We start from the raw sequence: 22,505 nt of genomic DNA, 5'->3' as shown, positions 1-22,505 counted from the left end.
TTGGGGTTTTGGAGATTTCATTGAACCTGCAAAGCGCTTTGGATAGAATAGGCATTTTAACAATATTAAGTTCTCCAATTCATGAACCTAGGATGACTTTCCATTTGTTATATTCTTGAATTTATTTCACAAATGTTTTGTAGTTTTCAGTCTACACACCTTCCTCCTCCTTAGTTAAGTTTATTCTATTTTATTCAAAAGCTATATTTATTTTACAGAGAGGGATAATATCCTACTGTATGCATATATCGCAATTTGTGTATCCATTTATCTGTTGATGGAAATTTTGACTTTGTTTTTCTTAACCTCTTGGCTAATGTGAGTAGAGCTGCCTCTACATGACTTTGTTTGATTACCTGGGTATATATCTTGTAGTGGAATTGTAGTCATATGGTAATTCTATGTTTAACTTTTTGAGGAACTGCCAAACTGCTTTGTATAGTAGCTTAGTACCTGAATGATTTTACATTTACATTCCCAACAGCAAAGCACGAGGGTATAAGTTTATCCACATCCTCACCAACGTTTGCTATTTTCTGTCTTCCATTCTGATTGATATGAAGTGGTATTTCATTGTGATTCTCATTTACAATTCTCTAATAACTAATGTTGAGTAACTTTCATGTTTTTATTGGGCATTTGTTTATCTCTCTGGAGAAAATTTTATTCAAGTATTTTTGTCATTTTTAAGTAGACTTCTGAGGTTATTTGACTCCTTATTGTTGAGTTGTGGGAGTTTTTTTTATGTATTCTAGTTATCTAATACCTATCAAATGTATTATTTGAAAATTTTCCCTTCCACTTTTTAGGTTGTCTTTTCACTGTCTTTATAATGTCCTTTGATGAGGAAATATTTTTAATTTTGATGAAGCTTGATTTATAAATTTTCTGCTGTTGTTGCTTGTAGCTGGGGTAGCATGTTTAGGAATCTATTGCCAAACACAAAGAAGGTCGTGAAGATTTACACCTATGTTGTCTTCTAAGAGTTTTATCATTTTACTTTTATATTTAGGGTGTTGATTTGAAGTTAATTTTTGTGTATAATTAGATGTAGTGGTTCTTCTTTATTAATTTTTGTGTGGCTATTCAGTTGTCTGGTAGACTAAATGTATTTTTAATTATTGTTCAAAGTAAAATTTTAATGATATTTTATTGCTTCCTTTATTTACCAAAATAGGAGCTTCCTGGAATTATTAAAACTGCTAGAGGTGTGAGTGGAAAAATATCCCCAACTTTTTCCTGGCTGTATGAACATTAAATATTTGCAAATGTAAGTACTAACATATATTATAAATAGAAATACCAAAAAATTTTTGTTGCATCTAACAGATTTGAAAATATTGACACTATGTGGCCTAACAATTTCCAAGCGTCATCCAAGTGTACAGACTTGATAGAATATTGTATGAGAGAAAAATGAGGACTAAAAAGATGTGAGTTACATTGTTTCATGTAATATAGAAGACTCAACACAACCAATTTTTTAATCTAGTTTAAATGCATAAACAAATCTATAACAATCAAGATATGTAAATAACAAAATCATATTCTTTGAAGAAAAAATAAGTCAATCAAAAATGATGTAGACATCATAAATTCCCTCACATAAATTTAAAACTACATAAGTAGAAATGATACATAACGTTTATTTACCAAAAATATAATAGTAAATTGATTTATTTTAAAAACTAGACAGAATTTATTAACCTTGAAGACATTGTGTTAAGTAAAATAAGTCCATCACAAAAGGACCAGTACTCTGTGATGTCACTTATATAAGGTATGCAAAATAATCAAATGCATAAACACAGAGGAGAATGGGGGTTTCCAGGTGCTGGGGCTAGGAAGCAGGAATAAATGGAGAGTTACTATAAAACAGGTATAGCATTTCAGTCACGCCAGTGGATTAAGTTCTAGAGAGGTTCTGTATTTATCTATTTTTTGTTGTTGTTGCCCGTATAGGTAAGATTACTGCCATATACACTTACCATTTTTTTATTATTATACTTTAAGTTTTAGGGTACATGTGCACAATGTACAGGTTAGTTACATATGTATACATGAGCCATGTTGGTGTGCTGCACCCATTAACTCGTCATTTAACATTAGGTATATCTCCTAATGCTATCCCTCCCCACTCCCCCCACCCCACAACAGGCCCCGGTGTGTGATGTTCCCCTTCCTGTGTCCATGTGTTCTCATTGTTCAATTCCCACCAATGAGTGAGAACATGCAGTGTTTTGTTTTTTGTCCTTGCGATAGTTTGCTGAGAATGATGGTTTCCAGCTTCATCCATGACCCTACAAAGGACATGAATTCATCATTTTTTATGGCTGCATAGTATTCCATGGTGTATATGTGCCACATTTTCTTAATCTAGTCTATCATTGTTGGACATTTGAGTTGGTCCAAGTCTTTGCTATTGTGAATAGTGCCGCAATAAACATACGTGTGCATGTGTCTTTATAGCAACATGATTTATAATCCTTTGGGTATATACCCAGTAATGGGATGGCTGAGTCAAATGGTATTTCTAGTTCTAGATCCCTGAGGAATTGCCACACTGACTTCCACAATGGTTGAACTAGTTTACAGTCCCACCAACAGTGTAAAAGTGTTCCTATTTCTGCACATCCTCTCCAGCACCTGTTGTTTCCTGACTTTTTAATGATCGCCATTCTAACTGGTGTGAGATGGTATCTCATTGTGGTTTTGATTTGCATTTCTCTGATAGCCAGTGATGATGAGCCTTTCTTCATGTGTCTTTTGGCTGCATAAATGCCTTCTTTTGAGAAGTGTCTGTTCAAGTCCTTTGCCCACTTTTTGATGGGGTTGTTTGTTTTTTTCTTGTAAATTTGTTTGAGTTCATTGTAGATTCTGGATATTAGCCCTTTGTCAGATGAGTAGATTGCAAAAATGTTCTCCCATTCTGTAGGTTGCCTGTTCACTCTGATGGTAGTTTCTGTTACTGTGCAGAAGCTCTTTAGTTTAAATAGATCCTATTTGTCAATTTTGCTTTTGTTGCCATTGCTTTTGGTGTTTTAGACATGAAGTTCTTGCCCATGCCTATGTCCTGAATGGTATTGCCTAGGTTTTCTTCTAGGGTTTTTATGGTTTTAGGTCTAACTTTTAAGTCTTTAATCCATCTTGAATAAATTTTTGTATAAGGTGTAAGGAAGGGATCCAGTTTCAGCTTTCTACATATGGCTAGCCAGTTTTCCCAGCACCATTTATTAAATAGGGAATCCTTTCCCCATTACTTGTTTTTGTCAGGTTTGTCAAAGATCAGATGGTTGTAGATATGCGGCATTATTTCTGAGGGCTCTGCTCTGTTCCATTGGTCTATATCTCTGTTGTGTTACCAGTACCATGCTGTTTTGGTAGCAGTACCATGCTGTTTTGGTTACTGTAGCCTTGTAGTATAGTTTGAAGTCAGGTAGCATGATGCCTCCAGCTTTGTTCTTTTGGCTTAGGATTGACTTGGCAATGTGGGCTCTTTTTTGGTTGCATATGAACTTTAAAGTAGTTTTTTCCAATTCTTTAAAGAAAGCCATTGGTAGCTTGATGGGGATGGCATTGAATCTATAAATTACCTTGGGCAGTATGGCCATTTTCATGATATTGATTCTTCTTACCCATGAGCATGGAATGTTCTTCCATTTGTTTGTATCCTCTTTTATTTCATTGAGCAGTTGTTTCTAGTTCTCCTTGAAGAGGTCCTTCACGTTCCTTGTAAGTTGGATTCCTAGGTATTTTATTCTCTTTGAAGCAATTGTGAATGGAAGTTCACTCATGATTTGGCTCTCTGTTTTTGATATACAAGAATGCTTGTGATATTTGCACATTGATTTTGTATCCTGAGACTTTGCTGAAGTTGCCTATCAGCTTAAGGAGATTTTGGGCTGAGACGATGGGGTTTTCTAGATCTACAATCATGTCATCTGCAAACAAGGATAATTTGACTTTCTCTTTTCCTAATTGAATACCCTTTATTTCCTTCTCCTGCCTAATTGCCCTGGCCAGAACTTCCAACACTATGTTGAATAGGAGTGGTGAGAGAGGACATCCTTGTCTTGTCCCTGTTTTCAAAGGGAATGCATCCAGTTTTTGCCCATTCAGTATGATATTGGCTGTGGGTTTGTCATAGATAGCTCTTATTATTTTGAGATATGTCCCATCATTACCTAATTTATTGAGAGTTTTTAGCATGAAGTGTTGTTGAGTTTTGTCAAAGGCCTTTTCTGCATCTATTGAGATAATCATATGGTTTTTGTCATTGGTTCTGTTTACATGCTGGATCACGTTTATTGATTTGTGTATGTTGAACCAGCCTTGCATCCCAGGGATGAAGCCCACTTGATCATGGTGGATAAGCTTTTTGATGTGCTGCTGGATTCAGTTTGCCAGTATTTTTTTGAGGATTTTTGCATCGATGTTCATCAGGGATATTGGTCTAAAATTCTCTGTTTTTGTTGTGTCTCTGCCAGGCTTTGGTATCAGGATGATGCTGGCCTCATAAAATGAGTTAGGGAGGATTCCCTCTTTTTCTATTGATTGGAATAGTTTCAGGAGGAATGGTACCAGCTCCTCCTTGTACCTCTGGTAGAATTCGGCTGTGAATCCATCTGGTCCTGGACTTTTTTTGGTGGGTAAGCTATTGATTATTGCCACAATTTCAGCTCCTGTTATTGGTCTATTCAGAGATTCAACTTCTTCCTGGTTTAGTCTCGGGAGGGTGTATGTGTCGAGGAAGTTATCCATTTCTTCTAGATTTTCTAGTTTATTTGCATAGAGGTGTTTGTAGTATTCTCTGATGGTAGTTTGTATTTCTGTGGGATCAGTGGTGATATCCCCTTTATCATTTTTTATTGCATCTATTTGCTTCTTCTCTCTTTTCTTCTTTATTAGTCTTGCTAGTGAGCTATCTATTTTGTTGATCTTTTCAAAAAACAAGCTCCTGGATTCATTGATTTTTTTGAAGAGGTTTTTGAAGGGTTTATTTCCTTCAGTTCTACTCTGATCTTAGTTATTTCTTGCCTTCTGCTAGCTTTTGAATGTGTTTGCTCTTGCTTCTCTAGTTCTTTTAATTGTGATGTTAGGGTGTCAATTTTAGATCTTTCCTGCTTTCTCTTATGGGCATTTAGTGCTATAAATTTCTCTCTACACACTGCTTTGAATGTGTCCCAGAGATTCTGGTATGTTGTGTCTTTGTTCCTGTTGGTTTCAAAGAACATCTTTATTTCTGCCTTCATTTCATTATGTACCCAGTAGTCATTCAGGAGCAGGTTGTTCAGTTTCCATGTAGTTGGGCAGTTTTGAGTGAGTTTCTTAATCCTGAGTTCTAGTTGGATTGCACTGTGGTCAGAGAGAAAGTTTGTTATAATTTCTGTTATTTTACATTTGCTGAGGAGTGCTTTACTTCCAACTATGTGGTCAATTTTGGAATAGGTGTGGTGTGGTGCTGAGAAGAATGTATATTCTGTTGATTTGGGGTGGAGAGTTCTGTAGATGTCTATTAGGTCTGCTTGGTGCAGAGCTGAGTTCAATTCCTGGATATCCTTGTTAACTTTCTGTCTCGTTGATCTGTCTAATGTTGACAGTGGGGTGTTAAAGTCTCCCATTATTATTGTGTGGGAGTCTAAGTCTCTTTCTAGGTCACTAAGGACTTGCTTTATGAATCTGGGTACCCTTGTATTGGGTGCATATATATTTAGGATAGTTAGCTCTTCTTGTTGAATTGATCCCTTTACCATTATGTAATGTCCTTCTTTGTCTCTTTTGATCTTTGTTGGTTTAAAGTCTGTTTTATCAGAGACTAGGATTGCAGCCCCTACCTCTTTTTGTTTTCCATTTGCTTGGTAGATCTTCCTCCATCCCTTTATTTTGAGCCTATGTGTGTCTCTGAACGTGAGATGGGTTTCCTAAATACAGTGCACTGATGGGTCTTGACTCTTTATCCAATTTGCCAGTCTGTGTCTTTTAATTGGAGCATTTAGCCCATTTACATTTAAGGTTAATATTTTTATGTGTGAATTTGACCCTGTCATTATGATGTTAGCTAGTTATTTTGCTCGTTAGTTGATGCAGTTTCTTCCTAGCCTTGATGGTCTTTCCAATTTGGCATGTTTTTGCAGTGGCTGGTACTGGTTGTTCCTTTCCATGTTTAGTGCTTCCTTCAGGAGCTCTTTTAGGGCAGGCCTGATGGTGACAAAATCTCTCAGCATTTGCTTGTCTGTAAAGGATTTTAATTTCTTCTTCACTTATGAAGCTTAGTTTGGCTGGATATGAAATTCTGAGTTGAAAATTCTTTTCTTTAAGAATGTTGAATATTGGCCCCCACTCTCTTCTGGCTTCTAGAGTTTCTGCTGAGAGATCCGCTGTTAGTCTGATGGGCTTCCCTTTGTGGGTAGCCCAACCTTTCTCTCTGGCTGCCTTTAACATTTTTTCCTTCATTTCAACTTTGGTGAATCTGACAATTATGTGTCTTGGAGTTGCTCTTCTCGAGGAGTATCTTTGTGGCATTCTCTGTATTTCCTGAATTTGAATGTTTGCCTGCCTTGCTAGATTGGGGAAGTTCTCCTGGATAATATCCTGCAGAGTGTTTTCCAACTTGGTTCCATTCCCCCCGTCACTTTCAGGTACACCAGACGGAGCTTTGGTCTTTTCACATAGTCCCATATTTCTTGGAGGCTTTGTTCATTTCTTATCATTCTTTTTTCTCTAAACTTCTCTTCTCACTTCATTTCATTCATTTCGTCTTCCATCGCTGATACCCGTCCTTCCAGTTGATTGAATCGGCTACTGAGGCTTGTGCATTCAGCATGTAGTTCTCATGCCTTGGTTTTCAGCTTCATTAGGTCCTTTAAGGACTTCTCTGCATTGGTTATTCTAGTTAGCCATTCATCTAATTTTTTTTCGAGGTTTTTAACTTCTTTGTCATGGGTTCGAAATTCCTCCTTTAGCTCTGAATAGTTTGATCGTCTGAAGCCTTCTTCTCTCAACTCATCAAAGTCATTCTCTGTCCAGCTTTGTTCCATTGCTGGTGAGAAGCCGCGTTCCTTTGGAGTAGGAGAGGCGCTCTGATTTTTACAGTTTCATTTTTCTCCTCTGCTGTTACCCCCATCTTTGTGGTTTTATCTGCCTTTGGTCTTTGGTGATGGTGATGTACAGGTGGGGTTTTGGTGTGGATGTCCTTTCTGTTTGTTAGTTTTCCTTCTAACCATCAGGACCCTCAGATGCAGGTCTGTTGGAGTTTGCTGGAGGTCTACTCCAGACCCTGTTTGCCCGGGTATCAACACTGGAGGCTGCAGAACAGTGGATATTGGTGAACAGCAAATGTTGCTGCCTTATCATTCCTCTGGAAGTTTTGTCTCAGAGGAGTACCCAGTCGTGTGAGGTGTTAGTCTGCCCCTACTGGGGGGTGCCTCCCAGTTAGTCTACTCAGGGGTCAGGGACCCACTTGACGAGGCAGTCTGTCCGTTTTCAGATCTCCAGCTGCGTGCTGGGAGAACCACTACTCTCTTCAAAGCTGTCAGACAGGGACATTTAAGTCTGCAGAGGATTCTACTGCCTTTTGTTTGTCTATGCCCTGCCCCCAGAGGTGGAGTCTACAGAGGCAGGCAGGCCTCCTTGAGCTGCAGCGGGCTCTACCCAATTCAAGCTTCCGGGCTGTTTTGTTTACCTACTCAAGCCTCGGCAATATTGGGTGCCCCTCCCCCAGCCTTACTGCTGCCTTGCAGTTTGACCTCAGACTGCTGTGCTAGCAATGAGCAAGGGTCCATGGGCATAGGACCCTCCGAGCCAGGCACAAGATATAATCTCCTGGTGTGCTGTTTGCTAAGACTGTTAGAAAAGTGCAGTATTAGGGTGGGAGTGACCCAATTTTCCAGGTGCCGTCTGTCACCCTTTTCTTTTACTAGGAAAGGGAATTCCCTGATCCCTTGTGCTTCCCAGGTGAGGCGATGCCTCGCCCTGCTTCAGGTCACACTCAATGCTCTGCACCCACTGTCCTGCACCCACTTTCCCACACTCCCCCGTGAGATGAACCCGGTACCTCAGTTGGAAATGCAGAAATCACCCATTTTCTGCGTTGCTCATGCTGGGAGCTGTAGACTGGAGCTGCTCCTATTCGGCCATCTTGGCTCCACCCCCACACTTACAATTTTTAAGATGATAAATCTCTCTTGAAAAGAGAATAAAAGGTTGTGATAGTCTTTATTTCTGCCTTAATTTCGTTATTTACCCAGTAGTTTCTCAGGAGCAGGTTGTTCAGTTTCCATGTAGTTGTGTGGTTTTGAATGAATATGTTAATCCTGAGTTCTAATTTGATTGCACTGTGGTCTGAGAGACTGTTTGTTATGATTTCCATTCTTTTGAATTTGTTTTACTTACAATTATGTGGTTAATTTTAGAATAAGTGTGATGTGGTGCTGAGAAGAATGCATATTCTGTTGATTTGGGGTGGAGAGTTCTGTAGATGTCTATTAGGTCCTCTTGGTCCAGAGCCGAGTTCAAGTCCTGGAAATCCTTGTTAATTTTCTGTCTCATTGATCTGTCTAATATTGACAGTGAGGTGTTAAAGTCTCCCACTATTATTGTGTGGGAATCTAAGATGTTCTTTGAAACCAATTAGAACAAAGACACAACATACCAGAATCTCTGGGGCACATTTAAAGCAGTGTATAGAGGGAAAATTGTAGCACTAAATGCCCACAAGAGAAAGCAGGAAAGATCTAAAATTGACACCCTAACATCACAATTAAAGTAATTAGAGAAGCAAGCGCAAACAAATACAAAAGCTAGCAGAAGACAAGAAATAACTAAGATCAGAGCAGAACTGAAGGAGATAGAGACATGAAAAACCCTTCAAAAAATCAATGAATCCAGGAGCTTGTTTTTTGAAAAGATCAACAAAATAGATAGCTCACTAGCCAGACTAATAAAGAAGAAATGAGAGAAGAATCAAATAGATGCAATAAAAAATGATAAAGGGGATATCACCACTGATCCCACAGAAATACAAACTACCATCAGAGAATACTATAAACACCTCTATGCAAATATACTAGAAAATCTAGAAGAAATGGACAAATTCCTGGACACACACACCCTCCCAAGACTAAATCAGGAAGAAGTTGAATCCCTGAATAGAACAATAACAAGTTCTGAAATTAAGGCAGTAATTAATAGTCTACCAACCCCCAAAATAAATCCAGGACCAGATGGATTCACAGCCAAATTCTACCAGAGGTACAAAAAGGAGCTGGTACCATTCCTTCTGAAACTATTCCAATCAATAGAAAAAGAGGGAATTCTCCCTAACTCATTTTACGAGGCCAATGTAATCCTGATAAACCTGGCAGCGACACAACACAAAAGAAAATTTTAGGCCAATATCCCTGATGAACATCAATGTGAAAATCCTCAATAAATACTGGCAAACTGAATCCAGCAGCACATCAAAAAGCGTATACACCACGATCAAGTAGGCTTCATCCCTGGGATGCAAAGCTGGCTCAACATACACAAATCAATAAACATAATCCATCACATAAACAGAACCAATGACAAAAACCACATGATTATCTCAATAGATGCAGAAAAGGCCTTCAACAAAATTCAACAGTCCTTCATGCTAAAGACTCTCAATAAACTAGTTATTGATGGAACGTATCTCAAAATAATAAGAGCTATTTATGACAAACCCACAGCCAATATCATACTGAATTGGCAAAACCTGGAAGCATTACCTTTGAAAACTGGCACAAGACAAGGATTCCCTCTCTTACCAACCCTATTCAACAAAGTATTGGAAATTCTGGCCAGGGCAATCAGGCAAGAGAAAGAAATAAATTGTATTCCATAGGAAGAGAGGAAGTCAAATTGTCTCTGTTGGCAGATGACATGATTGTATATTTTTAGAAAACCCCATCATCTCAGCTCAAAATCTCCTTAAGCTGATAAGCAACTTCAGCAAAGTCTGAGGATATAAAATCAATGTGCAAAAATCACAAGTATTTCCATACACCAAAAACAGACAAACAGCCAAATAATGAATGAACTCCCATTCACAATTGCTATTAAGAGAATAAAATACCTTGGAATACAACATACAAGCAATGTGAAGGACCTCTTCAAAGAGAACTACAAAACACTGCTCAAGGAAATATGATACAACACAAACAAATGGAAAAACATTCCATGCTAATGGATAGGAAGAATCAGTATAGTGTAAATGGTCATACTACCCAAAATAATTTATAGAATCAGTGCTGTCCCCATCAAGGTACCATTGACTTCCTTCACAGAGTTGGAAAAGACTACTTTAAATTTCATATGGAACCAAAGAAGAGCCCGCATAGCCAAGACAATCCTAAGCAAAATGAACAAAGCTGGAGGCATCATACTACCTGACTTCAAACTATACTACAAAGCTACGGTAACCAAAACAGCATGGTACTGGCACAAAAACAGATATATAGACCAGTGAAACAGAACAGAGGCCTCAGAAATAACTCCACACATCTACAACCATCTGATCTTTGACAAAGGGCTAATATCCAGAATTTGCAAAGAACCTAAACAAATTTACACGAAAAAAAAACATCAAAAATCAGCAAAGGATATGAACAGACACTTCTCTAAAGAAGATATTTATGCAGCCAACAAACATGAAAAAATGCTCATCATCACTGCTCATTAGGGAAATGCAAATCAAAACCACAATGAGATAGCCATCTCATGCAGGTTAGAATGGCGATCATTAAAAAGTCAGGAAACAACTTGTTGGAGAGGATGTGGAGAAATAGGAATGCTTTTACACTGTTGGTGGAAGTGTAAATTAGCTCAACCGTTGTGGAAGACAGTGTGGTGATTGCTCAAGCATCTAGAACTAAAAATACCATTTGACCCAGCAATCCCATTACTGGGTATATACCCTAAGGATTAAAAATCATTCTACTGTAAAAAGACATGCCCATGTGTGTTTATTGCAGCACTATTTACAATAGCAAAAATTTGCAACCAACTGAAATGGCCATCAATAATAGACTGGATAAAGAAAATGTGGTACATATACACCATGGAATACTATACAGCTAGAAAAAAGAATGAGTTCATGTCCTTTGCAGGGACATGAATGAAACTGGAAACCATGATTCTCAGCAAACTAACACAAGAACAGAAAACCAAACACTACCTGTTCTCACTCATAAGTGGGAGTTGAACAATAAGGACACATGGACACGTTGTGGGTGGGGGGATGGCATCACACACCAGGATCTTTCAGGGTCTGGGGGTCTAGGGGAGGGATAGCATTAAAAGAAATACCTAATGTAGATGACAGGTTGATGGGTGCAGCAAACCACCATGGCACATGTATACCTATGTAACAAACCTACACATTCTGCACACGTACCCCAGAAGTTAAAGTATAATAATAAAAAAAAAAGGTTGTGATAATCAAAAGTGGTTAATTCTGAATAGAATGGAGGAAATGGAAATGGGAGAAGCTGGTTAAGTGAAAATTTAGGTTGTATCTAATGATCCATTATTTTAAATAATAAAGCATATAATATAAAAGTATTGTTTAATTTGAGTGATGGAAATACAGTGTCTAGAATGTAACTGCAGACATACCTTTTGCATCTACAATGCTTACAGACTAGAAAATTCCACATAATAAGTTAAAAAAAAAGAAATGCTATCAGTATTTACTTAAGATGCTTCTATATGCTTTGAGGGAATATCACAGGCTCATCATATAAAAAAACATATTTTCCAACCAAATAATTTTAATTAATCCCTAGAAATAAGACCAAATATATGATAAGTACAACAAGAATTTTAATTAATACCCCTTCTGGTCACATTAAGAAGTTAATTAAAAGTTGATATTCACTTTTTATAACCACTCACATGTTGAATTTATGTTTTATATCACCTGGTTTTTATGACTTATGTATCAGGAGTTGCTCTTGATGCAGAATATGGGGGTTACATTTAGTTCTGTTCACAATATTCACATTGAAATTGACCATTGGAGCCAGAATCCTGTGCTTGCTATGTATTGATTTTTTCAACCCAGGGCCAGCAGTATCAATTCTCATTTTATATAGGAGTAATTGCATTCTTTTTTTATTTAATAGTATTATCTAAGTGAGTCCCTAGGCAATCTCCACATTTCACTCTTTGGGTAAAATTTTGAGTGGAATCTTGGCTAATGAATGCTGTTTGTCTTTCTTTCCCCAGGGAATCTGATTTTTATTTGGAAAATCTTGTTGTCAAGCTTGGGGACTGGGAGCTAGAAACAAACATATTCAGTGTGCAGGTCTTCAGAGACTTCAGACCCTTGAAAAACTCTAGCATGCTTCGGGCAGGAACCTTGGGTCTGGGCCTGGCCAGATCTCTCTACACAGGTAGGTTACACCAAATATTTTACTTCTTTCTAAGTTTCATGTAAAAATCAAGTATCTTTGAGGATTTACCAATTTAAATCAGACTCAGGATTGAAATGATATCTAATTTGTCTTCTTTTCCAAATAACTCAAGTATCTGCCCACTGATTGCTTATTGGAAGTGACAGTGATACAACATAAACAATAGTATCCAGCATCTCTATTGATAGACTAGACAGCTTGAACATTTATACCAAATAATGAATAGTCATTACAGTTAGTATATTCCACCTTAATATGAACACTGATTTTTTTCTGCCTTAGAACCGAGATGTTTAGAGAGAATGCTACACCAAAAGGGAAGTATCTTATGTGTCTCTGATGCATATGATTTGATGTTTCAAAAAAGGGCTTTCAAAAATACTTGACAATGATGAAAATGAGCTTTTATTCTTGCATTCCCTGGGGTGAAAAATCCTAGGATGAAAAGATTCCCTGGTACTAATAGTCAATCTCCCTGATGGATGCCAAAAACTCACGTTGAGATTCAGTGCTTGTCTCAAACCAGACCCATGTCTCAACAAGATTAACACAAATTCCACAGTTAGACATTAATGAAATATAGTCTTGAAATCTTCTCAGAAGCTATTTAAGAGTTAATTTGCAACATAACACCTCATCCAAAGGGTGACAATTTTTACAGTGAAATTGACATTAAAATTATTAACCTCAGGTATATTTTTATTTATTTTATATTGAGATTCATGGTATTGGTAGACCTATAAAATATTTCTTTTCAAAAACTAATTTTAAAAAAACTTTTGTGAAAAATTATAATAGCTCTTAACAGGAAAATTCTAACAAAAAATATTCTAAAAAAAAAAAGAAAACTCAACAGGAGAAAACTGGGTTTGTTCTAAGGAAACTTTATGTCAATGGCATATACTTGCTGAAATAATAATCAACTCCAGCTCTGCCCTCAGCCATGCTTCAGAGGAGGAGAAATTAATAATGGGTAAAGATATTAAATATTTGCAAATTATCTTCCTTCCCCGAGCTAATTGCACAAATTCAAGAGTAGCCAGTAAATAATTGCTATTGCTCATGATGTTCTTTTTTGTTGTTAAATTAAGGGTGTCTATGGAATATAAATGTCAGAATGAACAATGCACTGAGTTGCTTTGTGTGTGGCAGCCAAACAGGAAATATTTTGATCAAAGTAATTTTTAGCACAATGTTTTAAATCATAAGCTTGCCTGCTTATAAGACATGCAGTTCTTTTTAGCGCAGTGGCAAGAAACAAAAGATAGAGGATAGGCGCTACACACAATCAGATCAGTTTCTCAGACTCATATTTGATGTATTTAATAATGTATCATAACAAAGAAACATTGAAGATTTAAGAGGTAATCTGATTGCAAGACAGCATGTTTTGTTTGTTAAAAAAGGAGCTAGATATTGTGTGTCCCAGTTTTTTAAAAAATATGCAGTAGTATAATTCATTTGCTATTTCTGTATTAACTGTAAAAGCACTCAGTAAGGTGGAATGAATTACTGGAATTAAGAACTCACATTGAAAATCATTCAAAGCATGCTAATAACAAAAACTGAAGGTAGCATCCATTTTGCATTCACTTGGTACCAGGCTCTATAAAAACAAATCATTTATGTGCATTATCTCATTTAATGTGGATAATACAAGAATATAATGCTTGGTAAAAATCACCTAGGTATTAATTGGTAGACTAAAACAAACCAATTACATAAACAAAATCACAAAAACAAAATAAAACCATGAAGTTTAGATCAATGTCTACATAGTATTTTCAAGTAATTTTGAGTATTAATTGGTAGACTAACACAATCAATCACAGAAACAAAATCATAAAACCATGCAGTTTGGAACAATGTCTTACACAGTCTTTTTGAGTAATTTTACTTCAATGAGACTCAATTTTCTTATTAGACATGAAAATAATTACCATCTACCTATATTTTAGGGTGCTCCTGCAGAATGAGATAACTATTTCAAAATTCTTAGGATAACTTTCAACACATGTTACTTTTTAAATAAATATTAACAGCCTTCCCCACTCGTCTTTCTATACAAGTATAATAAATCAAAGTAATCTAACTTTAACAAATAAAAGTTGTAAGTAATAAGCATTAAAAAATAAAACAATAACAATTTAAAATGAAAAAGTATAAGCTAGAAAGGGAAGGGAGAGTAGGGCTTCTGGAACAAAATAGTAGAGAAGAGTCTGAGTAAGAGAAGTCACAATGATAGGACAGGACTGGCTTATCTAGCAGAAGTAACGAAATGTGATTGAGTAAAAAGGATTCTGACTTTCAGAATTACACTCAGAGGGAAAAATATTGAAGTGTAGGCCTACTTCTGCACAGCTGAAGCAACATTATGCGGTAGAAATTGATAAAGCAAAATCCAGAATACTGAAAGTGTTTCCCATAGAAATGTTGAAATTCCCAAGAATTATTAATGACAAGTTAGGGGCTGGATAAGTCACCAGTGGAAGCTAGGAAAAAGATAACTGGTGGTCACCCCGTGTCATCAACTTCTTAAGGCTGCTCTCTCTTATCACTGGAAACACAGACAGAAACACACAAATAAAAATTGTAAGTAATAAATTACATGTTCATGTAAGTGTATATATATTAATCAATATCATATGCTAATCTATGTATATAATACATGTGAATATACATTAATATAAAATGCATATCTATTCATCCAATATTATGTGCTAATATAGTTGATAAATGCATAATATTAAGACATATTACAAAACAAATAAATATGTATTCACTCAATATAAACTATATCCAATAGTAAATACATAAATTGCTTGTCCAAACAGTTTTAAGACTCTTTTTTTTTTTTTTTTTTTTGAGACGGAGTCTCGCTCTGTCGCCCAGGCTGGAGTGCAGTGGCACCACTGCAAGCTCCGCCTCCCAGGTTCGCAGCATCCTCCTGCCTCAGCCTCCCGAGTAGCTAGGACTACAGGCGCACACCACCACACCCGGCTGATTTTTCGTGTTTTTTAGTAGAGACGGGGTTTCACCGTGTTAGCCAGGATGGTCTCGATCTCCTGACCTCGTGATCCGCCCGCCTCGGCCTCCCAAAGTGCTGGGATTACAGGCGTGAGCCACCACGCCCGGCCAGTTTTAAGACTCTTAATTGTCTGGGGAGTTTTTATTTCTGAAGTTTATGAAAACATGGGGAGAAAAACAATTAGGTTCTGAAACTTGTAAGAGTTTGTAAAACAAAATAAACTGATTTCAAATGAAATATTTAACAACCTAGCATCTAACAGAAACATCAATGTTATCATCAATTGATTTCTTTCAACTTTTTCAGGTAAAAGATGAAGCCAACAATACAAATGGCTTCAGGAAATCTCACATGGGTGACGGAGTTCATTCTTGTGGGAGTCTCAGATGATCCGGAGCTCCAGATTCCCCTCTTCCTGGTCTTCCTGGTGCTCTATTTGCTGACCGTGGCAGGGAACCTGGGCATCATCACCCTCACCAGTGTTGACCCTCAACTTCAAACCCCCATGTACTTTTTCCTCTGACACTTGGCTATTATTAATCTTTGCAATTCTACTGTCGTTGCCCCTAAAATGCTGGTTAACTTCCTGGTTACCAAGAAAACCATATCATACTATGGATGTGCAGCCCAACTGGGTGGATTCTTGGTTTTCATTGTGGCTGAGATTTTCACGCTGGCTGCAATGGCCTATGACCGCTATGTGGCTATTTGGAGCCCTCTGCTCTACGCCGTAGTGGTGTCTCCAAAGGTGTGTCGTCTGCTGGTGTCCCTCACATACCTTCAGAGTCTTATCACAGCACTGACTGTCTCTTCCTGTGTGTTCTCTGTGTCATACTGTTCTTCCAACATTATCAACCATTTTTACTGTGATGATGTCCCTTTGCTAGCATTGTCCTGTTCTGATACCTACATTCCAGAAACAGCAGTCTTTATCTTTTCAGGGACCAACTTGCTTTTCTCCATGATCGTTGTTCTGATATCCTACTTCAACATTGTTATTACCATTTTGAGGATACGTTCCTCAGAAGGACGACAAAAAGCCTTTTCCACCTGTGCTTCTCACATGATAGCTGTGGTTGTGTTCTATGGGACTCTCCTTTTCATGTATTTGCAACCAAGGAGTAATCATTCATTAGATACTGACAAAATGGCTTCGGTCTTCTACACCCTGGTGATACCAGTGCTGAACCCTCTAATCTACAGCCTCAGGAACAAGAACGTGAAGGATGCACTAAAGAGGTTCCTAGATAACCCATGCCGATCACTCAAACTAATGTAAATGTAAAGCTAAAACTATCTTCCTTTAGTGCTTTTCGTTTTTTCCTGAAAACTGCTGTGTTTTAAAAAAAAGTGTCAAGAAATTTTTAGAAATTCCATTCATTTCAGTGGGAAATGTTTAATTGTTCTTATGTCAACCTCACATACGCAAACAAGAAAACAATATCTATAATTAATAAAAATAATTTGAAAATAATCACAGTTTATAGATAACTTATAGATAAAATGTAAGCCACTAAAGGGTTTTTAAAATAATTTCCAAACAAGGAAAAGAATGCCTGATAGTGCGTGTGGAGGTATGTGGCATCATTTCTTGGAAGGTGGTCAAAACTCAGATCATCCTCCTTGCAAGAGACATCTTTTGTTCAGCTACTAAAAATTATATTTTTAGTTTTGTAGCATTTTATCCATCAAGTTCAACTTTTGTGGAACCATTTTTATCTTGTATTTAAAAATAAATTTTTTATCACAGAAAAACTACACATGGAAATAAGACTTAAGGGAAAACAGGCTAACAAATTTTTAAAGGGGATTTTCTTTTTTCATTGTTCTCAGTTGGTGTGTGCACCCAAAGCTAAATGTTGATGTTCTCTCAAATAAGACACACAACTTTTTTCCATCTCATCATAAAACATTTGTGTAAAGTTAATTGCCTTTGTTATGAAACTATAATACCAAACACAACTACTTTTAGCATTTTCATTCAGTGTAATTTGAAATGAAATTTTATCAGACAAAATTTTTTAAAAATAATATTTTCTTAAAGATGTCCTCCTGTTTTTTTTTAAGTTAGTAGTTACTATGAACTACATCTCTTTGCATGTAAAAGGCTACTAATGCATGATGGAGTGAGGGAGAGTGGCACTTATATGTGAAATAAAGGTAGTGTCTGGAAATAAAGTACAGTTATAATATTTTCAGGAAGGTTAGAAGCATACTCAATCCGGGGACTGTGTGACTCAAATCAATATTTCAACTTCTAACTTTAGCCTTAAAGGAGCAGAATCACTGAAGGCAGGAAAAATCACACTATATGAGGGACATTTCTGGTCTCAAGGGCAACATTAATAATAGTTCTATGGCATTTGCCTTTATGTTACTTATCTGTTTATTTGTGTATCTTTTTCTACTTTATGATATGTGTATTTGGCTTCATCAACTGATATAATTGTAACTGGAGAACTATACTTCCCATTAGAAACAATTCTTTTGGGTCTGGCTAGATGAATAGCATTGGAGTAACAGGGCTAAACTCACACTTGCATTTATACCAATGTTATGCATATTACTAAATTAGTTAAGGTCAGTAAGAAGTACTCCAGTGTTTTCTACCTTTTAATTTGGCTTACACATGTGTATTTTGTAAAAATAATGATGTTGTCTCTTGTATTCGTTTTCTATTGCTACTGTAAGAAATCACTACAAACATAGTAGCTTGGAACAACCCAAATTTATTATCCCACATTTCTAGGGGTCAGAAAGTCAAAGTGGATCTCATGAGGTTAAAACCAAGGTGTTGGCAGTCTGTATTCCTACTGGAATCTCCGGGACAATCTATTTTCTTGCTTTTTCCAGGTTCTAGAGGTTGCCTACAGCAATTGGCTTATGTTCTCCTTCCAGTCAGCAATCTCATCACTCTGACCTCTGCTTCCACTGCTGTGTCCCCTCTGCCTTTCACCCTCTTCTTCCCTCTCTCCCCTGTGATTGTCTTGGACTCACACAGATAATCCATAAAATCCTCCTCATCTCATGATTCTTAATCACATCAGCAAATTCCCTTTTCCATGGAATGTGACATGTTCAGATAGATTCCTGTACCTGTCTTATTCATTAGTGCTCAATGGTATAGTCTTACAAAAGTTGACATGCTATATATCCTTTCTACATTATTTACTATAAAATTTATGTAAACAAAGTATACACATGGCCTTCTTTGAATAAAAAATAAAAATCAGTTGGTTTTAATGTTGCAAAAGTATATACACATATAAACATACACACTCATATACCACTTGTGACACTTTTATTCATATGTGATGAATTAACTCAATCAACCAAGCAGATAAGTTTTCAAAGAAGCAAGATAGAACAATTAAATTGTCAGCTCTGGTCTATATGTTAATCACCCCAGGGGGCATGTCAACCTAAATAACAGAGAGAGGCTCTCTAAAAGAGAATAATATTTATTCAGGATTACAGCATTGCAATGAGAAGGCAAGTGCCATAGTAAATTATGTGCATATTCAGAGAGAAAAAGGAAGACAAAGGGTTTTATAGAGAAAAAAATGAGGAATATTACCTTTGGCTTCAAAAATCAGTAATAAGAGTGATACTAGTCTGAGGTTGGACAGGCAGTTGCTGGAGAGATGTCCTTGGAGAAGTATATATATTTTTAAAGTTGTGATGGCCTTTGTGCAAGGTTGTGATTTTTGCCGTCATTTGTGATACTTTTGCTATCAGGCATACAAGCCTGAGAACCTTCTCTCCATGCCTTCTAAGGCTTCGTCAGTTTGTGTGTATGTGTGTTTGTTGTTTTTTAATTTTTTAAACAGAAGTAACTCCATTTTGATTCTGACAGCTTTCACATTTCCCCCTTTTGATCAAAATATTCTTCCAAAAGCACCACTAGTAAGTCATACTGTCATTAAGTTTTGATGTTTCTTGGTGCCAAAATAAAAATAGACTTGTTCTGCATTCCTGATCCCATCTCACATTGGAGAGAGTGCTTACTGACTGTGAGTTAATGACAAAACCCCATTAGCCATATTTGAGCAACATGAGAGTTTTGAAGGAAGAGACTCACAGGCTAAGTCTACCTGGAATTCATTATTAAGTTCAGTTCTGTCTGTTTCATAATCTTTTTGCCATCATCTGAAAGTGCTGAGTAAGCATTGTTTTGTTAGAAATTGTATTTCTGGAAAAAATTCAACGAGTAGCACACAAAGTTTAAAAGTGGAAAACACAAAGTAAAATTAACAGTAGTATGAAAGTCCCAATTTGTATAATAGTTTTGATCCTAGGCTTAAAGACAACCAATTGAATAAATCAAATGCCATTTATGCTGCCAAATGAAAAAGGTAGGCCTGAGAATAGTGAGCCCCATTATAGAGTTTTATTCTGACATTGTGGGAAAAGCTGCCTACGGCATTAAGACATCAACTTTTTGTCATGGTTTGTAGTTTGACTATAACTGATTACAATATCAGGTGGTTTGGTAAACATTTTCTGTGGCCCGTATATGAGGCAGGAGGCTTGTTCCTTAAAATTTATCTAGTTTCAGCTTATAGGGCTTTTGGAACAAAAAAGTTTTTGTTTTCAGTAATTCTATAGAAGAAAGTTGTATTGGGAGAATCTAGAAGACTTGAAAATTTAGTGTAGTCTACAGGTAAATAACAAGAACTTAAAAACAATGCAAAGTGCTATAACCGAATAATGGATATATTATACCTTTGCTTTAGAAACATGACTTTTTCTCTGCCTTGATCACCTAAAAATCTCAGATTTAAAAACTTCTTAAGCTAGAAAGCCAAACCAAGGCAGACCTTGGATTTTGTTTACATACTTACAATCTTAAGGTTCCTAGGCCTGTCAAGAAGTGATAATTTTTACTTAATTCCCTGTAAGGCAGGGAGCTGTTGAAATCTGGTATTTTATGCAAATTTTCAAATATGACATATTTTCAGTCAAATCCATGGTAATATGACCAATATTTCTAATTGTGTCCTCCTGTAAAGATAAATCAGATTTTTATTGAAATTATGTTATTATATAGATTGTCATTAAAAGTAAGAATACTTATGAATAGTTTTTGAATTTTCAAGGAATTAAATTGGGAGAGAAATCAAATGCTTTCAATTTTTTCACAAAATTATCCTTTACCAAATTTGTGTAAATTATAGCTTATGAGAGAAATTTTTCTTAAATCTTGAAAACAAACCATTTAAGTAAAGAATCAATGTTTTAAACAACGTTTTAAATAAAATAATAAAAACTATTTTCATCAGTTATTTTTATATTGCTTGATCTTGATTAGCAGTTTTATGAACCCATAAGTTTTATGAACCTATAAGTTTTTTAAATCAGAGTTCTAGACATTTTTATTTATTTCATTGCCTTTAAGGTTGTCATAAATCTACTCAAGAATACTTGTTAAAGTCTTTTCCATGAAAGGCAATTTTGGATTATAGTTAATTGTAAATACTTTTAGAGAAGAATTTAAAGCAATAATTGTGAATGACAAAAAGTTAGAATAGTCATGGATAAAAATCTGATGAAAGTTTTCAATTGACAAGGAAATTTATTTATTATTACCTATTACATTTTAAAATATCAATCAGAATTATGACTGGCTGAATCACATCAGGGCTATCAGACTTTTATAAATGTGACACAACTGGCCGGGCGCGGTGGCTCACGCCTGTAATCCCAGCACTTTGGAAGGCCAAGGCAGGTGGATCACGAGGTCAGGAGATCAAGACCATCCTGGCTAACACAGTAAAACCCCGTCTCTACCAAAAATACAAAAAATTAGCCAGGCGTGGTGGCGGGTGCCTGTAGTCCCGGGTAATCGGGAGGCTGAGGCAGGAGAACTGCGTGAACCCGGGAGGTGGAGCTTGCAGTGAGCCCAGATGGTGCCACTGCACTCCAGCCTGGGAGACAGAGTGAGACTCCGTCTCAAAAAAAAAAAAAAAAAAAAAAGTGACACAACTGAAAATCATAAAATGCTCACATCAATAATACATCCATATAAATATAACTTTAAAGAAGATTAAGCTTATCAACCAAAATTATGACTGCTAACATATTAGATTTTCATAAGTTTATGTAGATTTTAAAACAAGTATAGATAACATGCCCCTGAATGTAACTGAAAGAAGATTTAACATCACTTAGTATTTGACAATGTTTCCCCCTTATACTTTACTAAATAAAACTAATCATTTAGCAAGACATATGTTCTTGACATATGGGCCCAAGTGGAAAATTTCAAAGTTAATTATAGATCAGAAAATCTTCATTTTAGAGCCAAGAGCCCCATTTGCATGTGTGGAGAAGCAGTGGCACCAGCGCAGTGGTGCGAGACACTCTCACCCCCCTCAGGAGACTTAGGGACGCACTGCCTCTGTCACCTGCTCAGCTCCCTGCCCGGGTGAGGAGGCCATCTTGTGTGGTTGAGTGTCTTGAGCTGAGGGCAGCAACTATGACTGAGTTGCTATTGGTGATAACAAAAGCCTCAGCAGGTGGGGAGGATGAAAGGTAGCTGGATGGAGCTGGGAGATGGGACACCACACAATATTAAACAGTTGAAGAGAAGGAATCGGGTTATCTTTTCAGTCAGCTACAATGGTAAGTTCTACAAGGATGTGATGGAGGTGGTGAACGATCAAAACTTGCCTATTTCAGTGATGTTCCTGTAGGTGCAGTGTACTCTAGGGTGGCTCATTCACAGAATCAGAAAAGACTTTACATCATGACACTTGGATATCTGGCACCTTACCAAAGGCTAGGAATAGGAACTACAATGTTAATTCATGTCTTAAACATGTGAAAAAGATGGCACTTTTGACATCTATCTGCATGTCCAGATCAGCGGTGAGTCGGCAATTGACTTCTACAGGAAGTTTGGCTTTGAGATTATGGAGCCCAAGAAGAACTACTATAAAACCGCAAAGCCTGCAGATGATCATGTCCTGCAGAAAAACCTCAAATTACCTTCTGGTCAGAATGCAGATGTGGAAAAGACAGACAACTGAACAAATTAC

At 36.7% G+C, this 22,505-nt stretch overlaps 2 pseudogenes across 1 annotated transcript; both read left to right on the top strand.

Moving 5' to 3' along the window:
- Positions 1-12,394: 12,394 nt before the first annotated feature.
- Positions 12,395-18,632, top strand: OR8J2 (olfactory receptor family 8 subfamily J member 2 (gene/pseudogene); annotated as a pseudogene). Its single transcript, NR_173147.2, has 2 exons — positions 12,395-12,416; positions 15,772-18,632. The product of NR_173147.2 is annotated as an olfactory receptor family 8 subfamily J member 2 (gene/pseudogene) (transcript).
- A 3,163-nt stretch (positions 18,633-21,795) lies between these two features.
- NAA50P1 (NAA50 pseudogene 1) lies at positions 21,796-22,505 on the top strand (annotated as a pseudogene).

Source organism: Homo sapiens, chromosome 11 (assembly GCF_000001405.40).
Source record: "Homo sapiens chromosome 11, GRCh38.p14 Primary Assembly".
In the NCBI taxonomy this organism is placed as follows: domain Eukaryota; kingdom Metazoa; phylum Chordata; class Mammalia; order Primates; family Hominidae; genus Homo; species Homo sapiens.
Note: the sequence above shows the minus strand (reverse complement) of the source record. Positions and strands in the feature narration are given on the sequence as shown.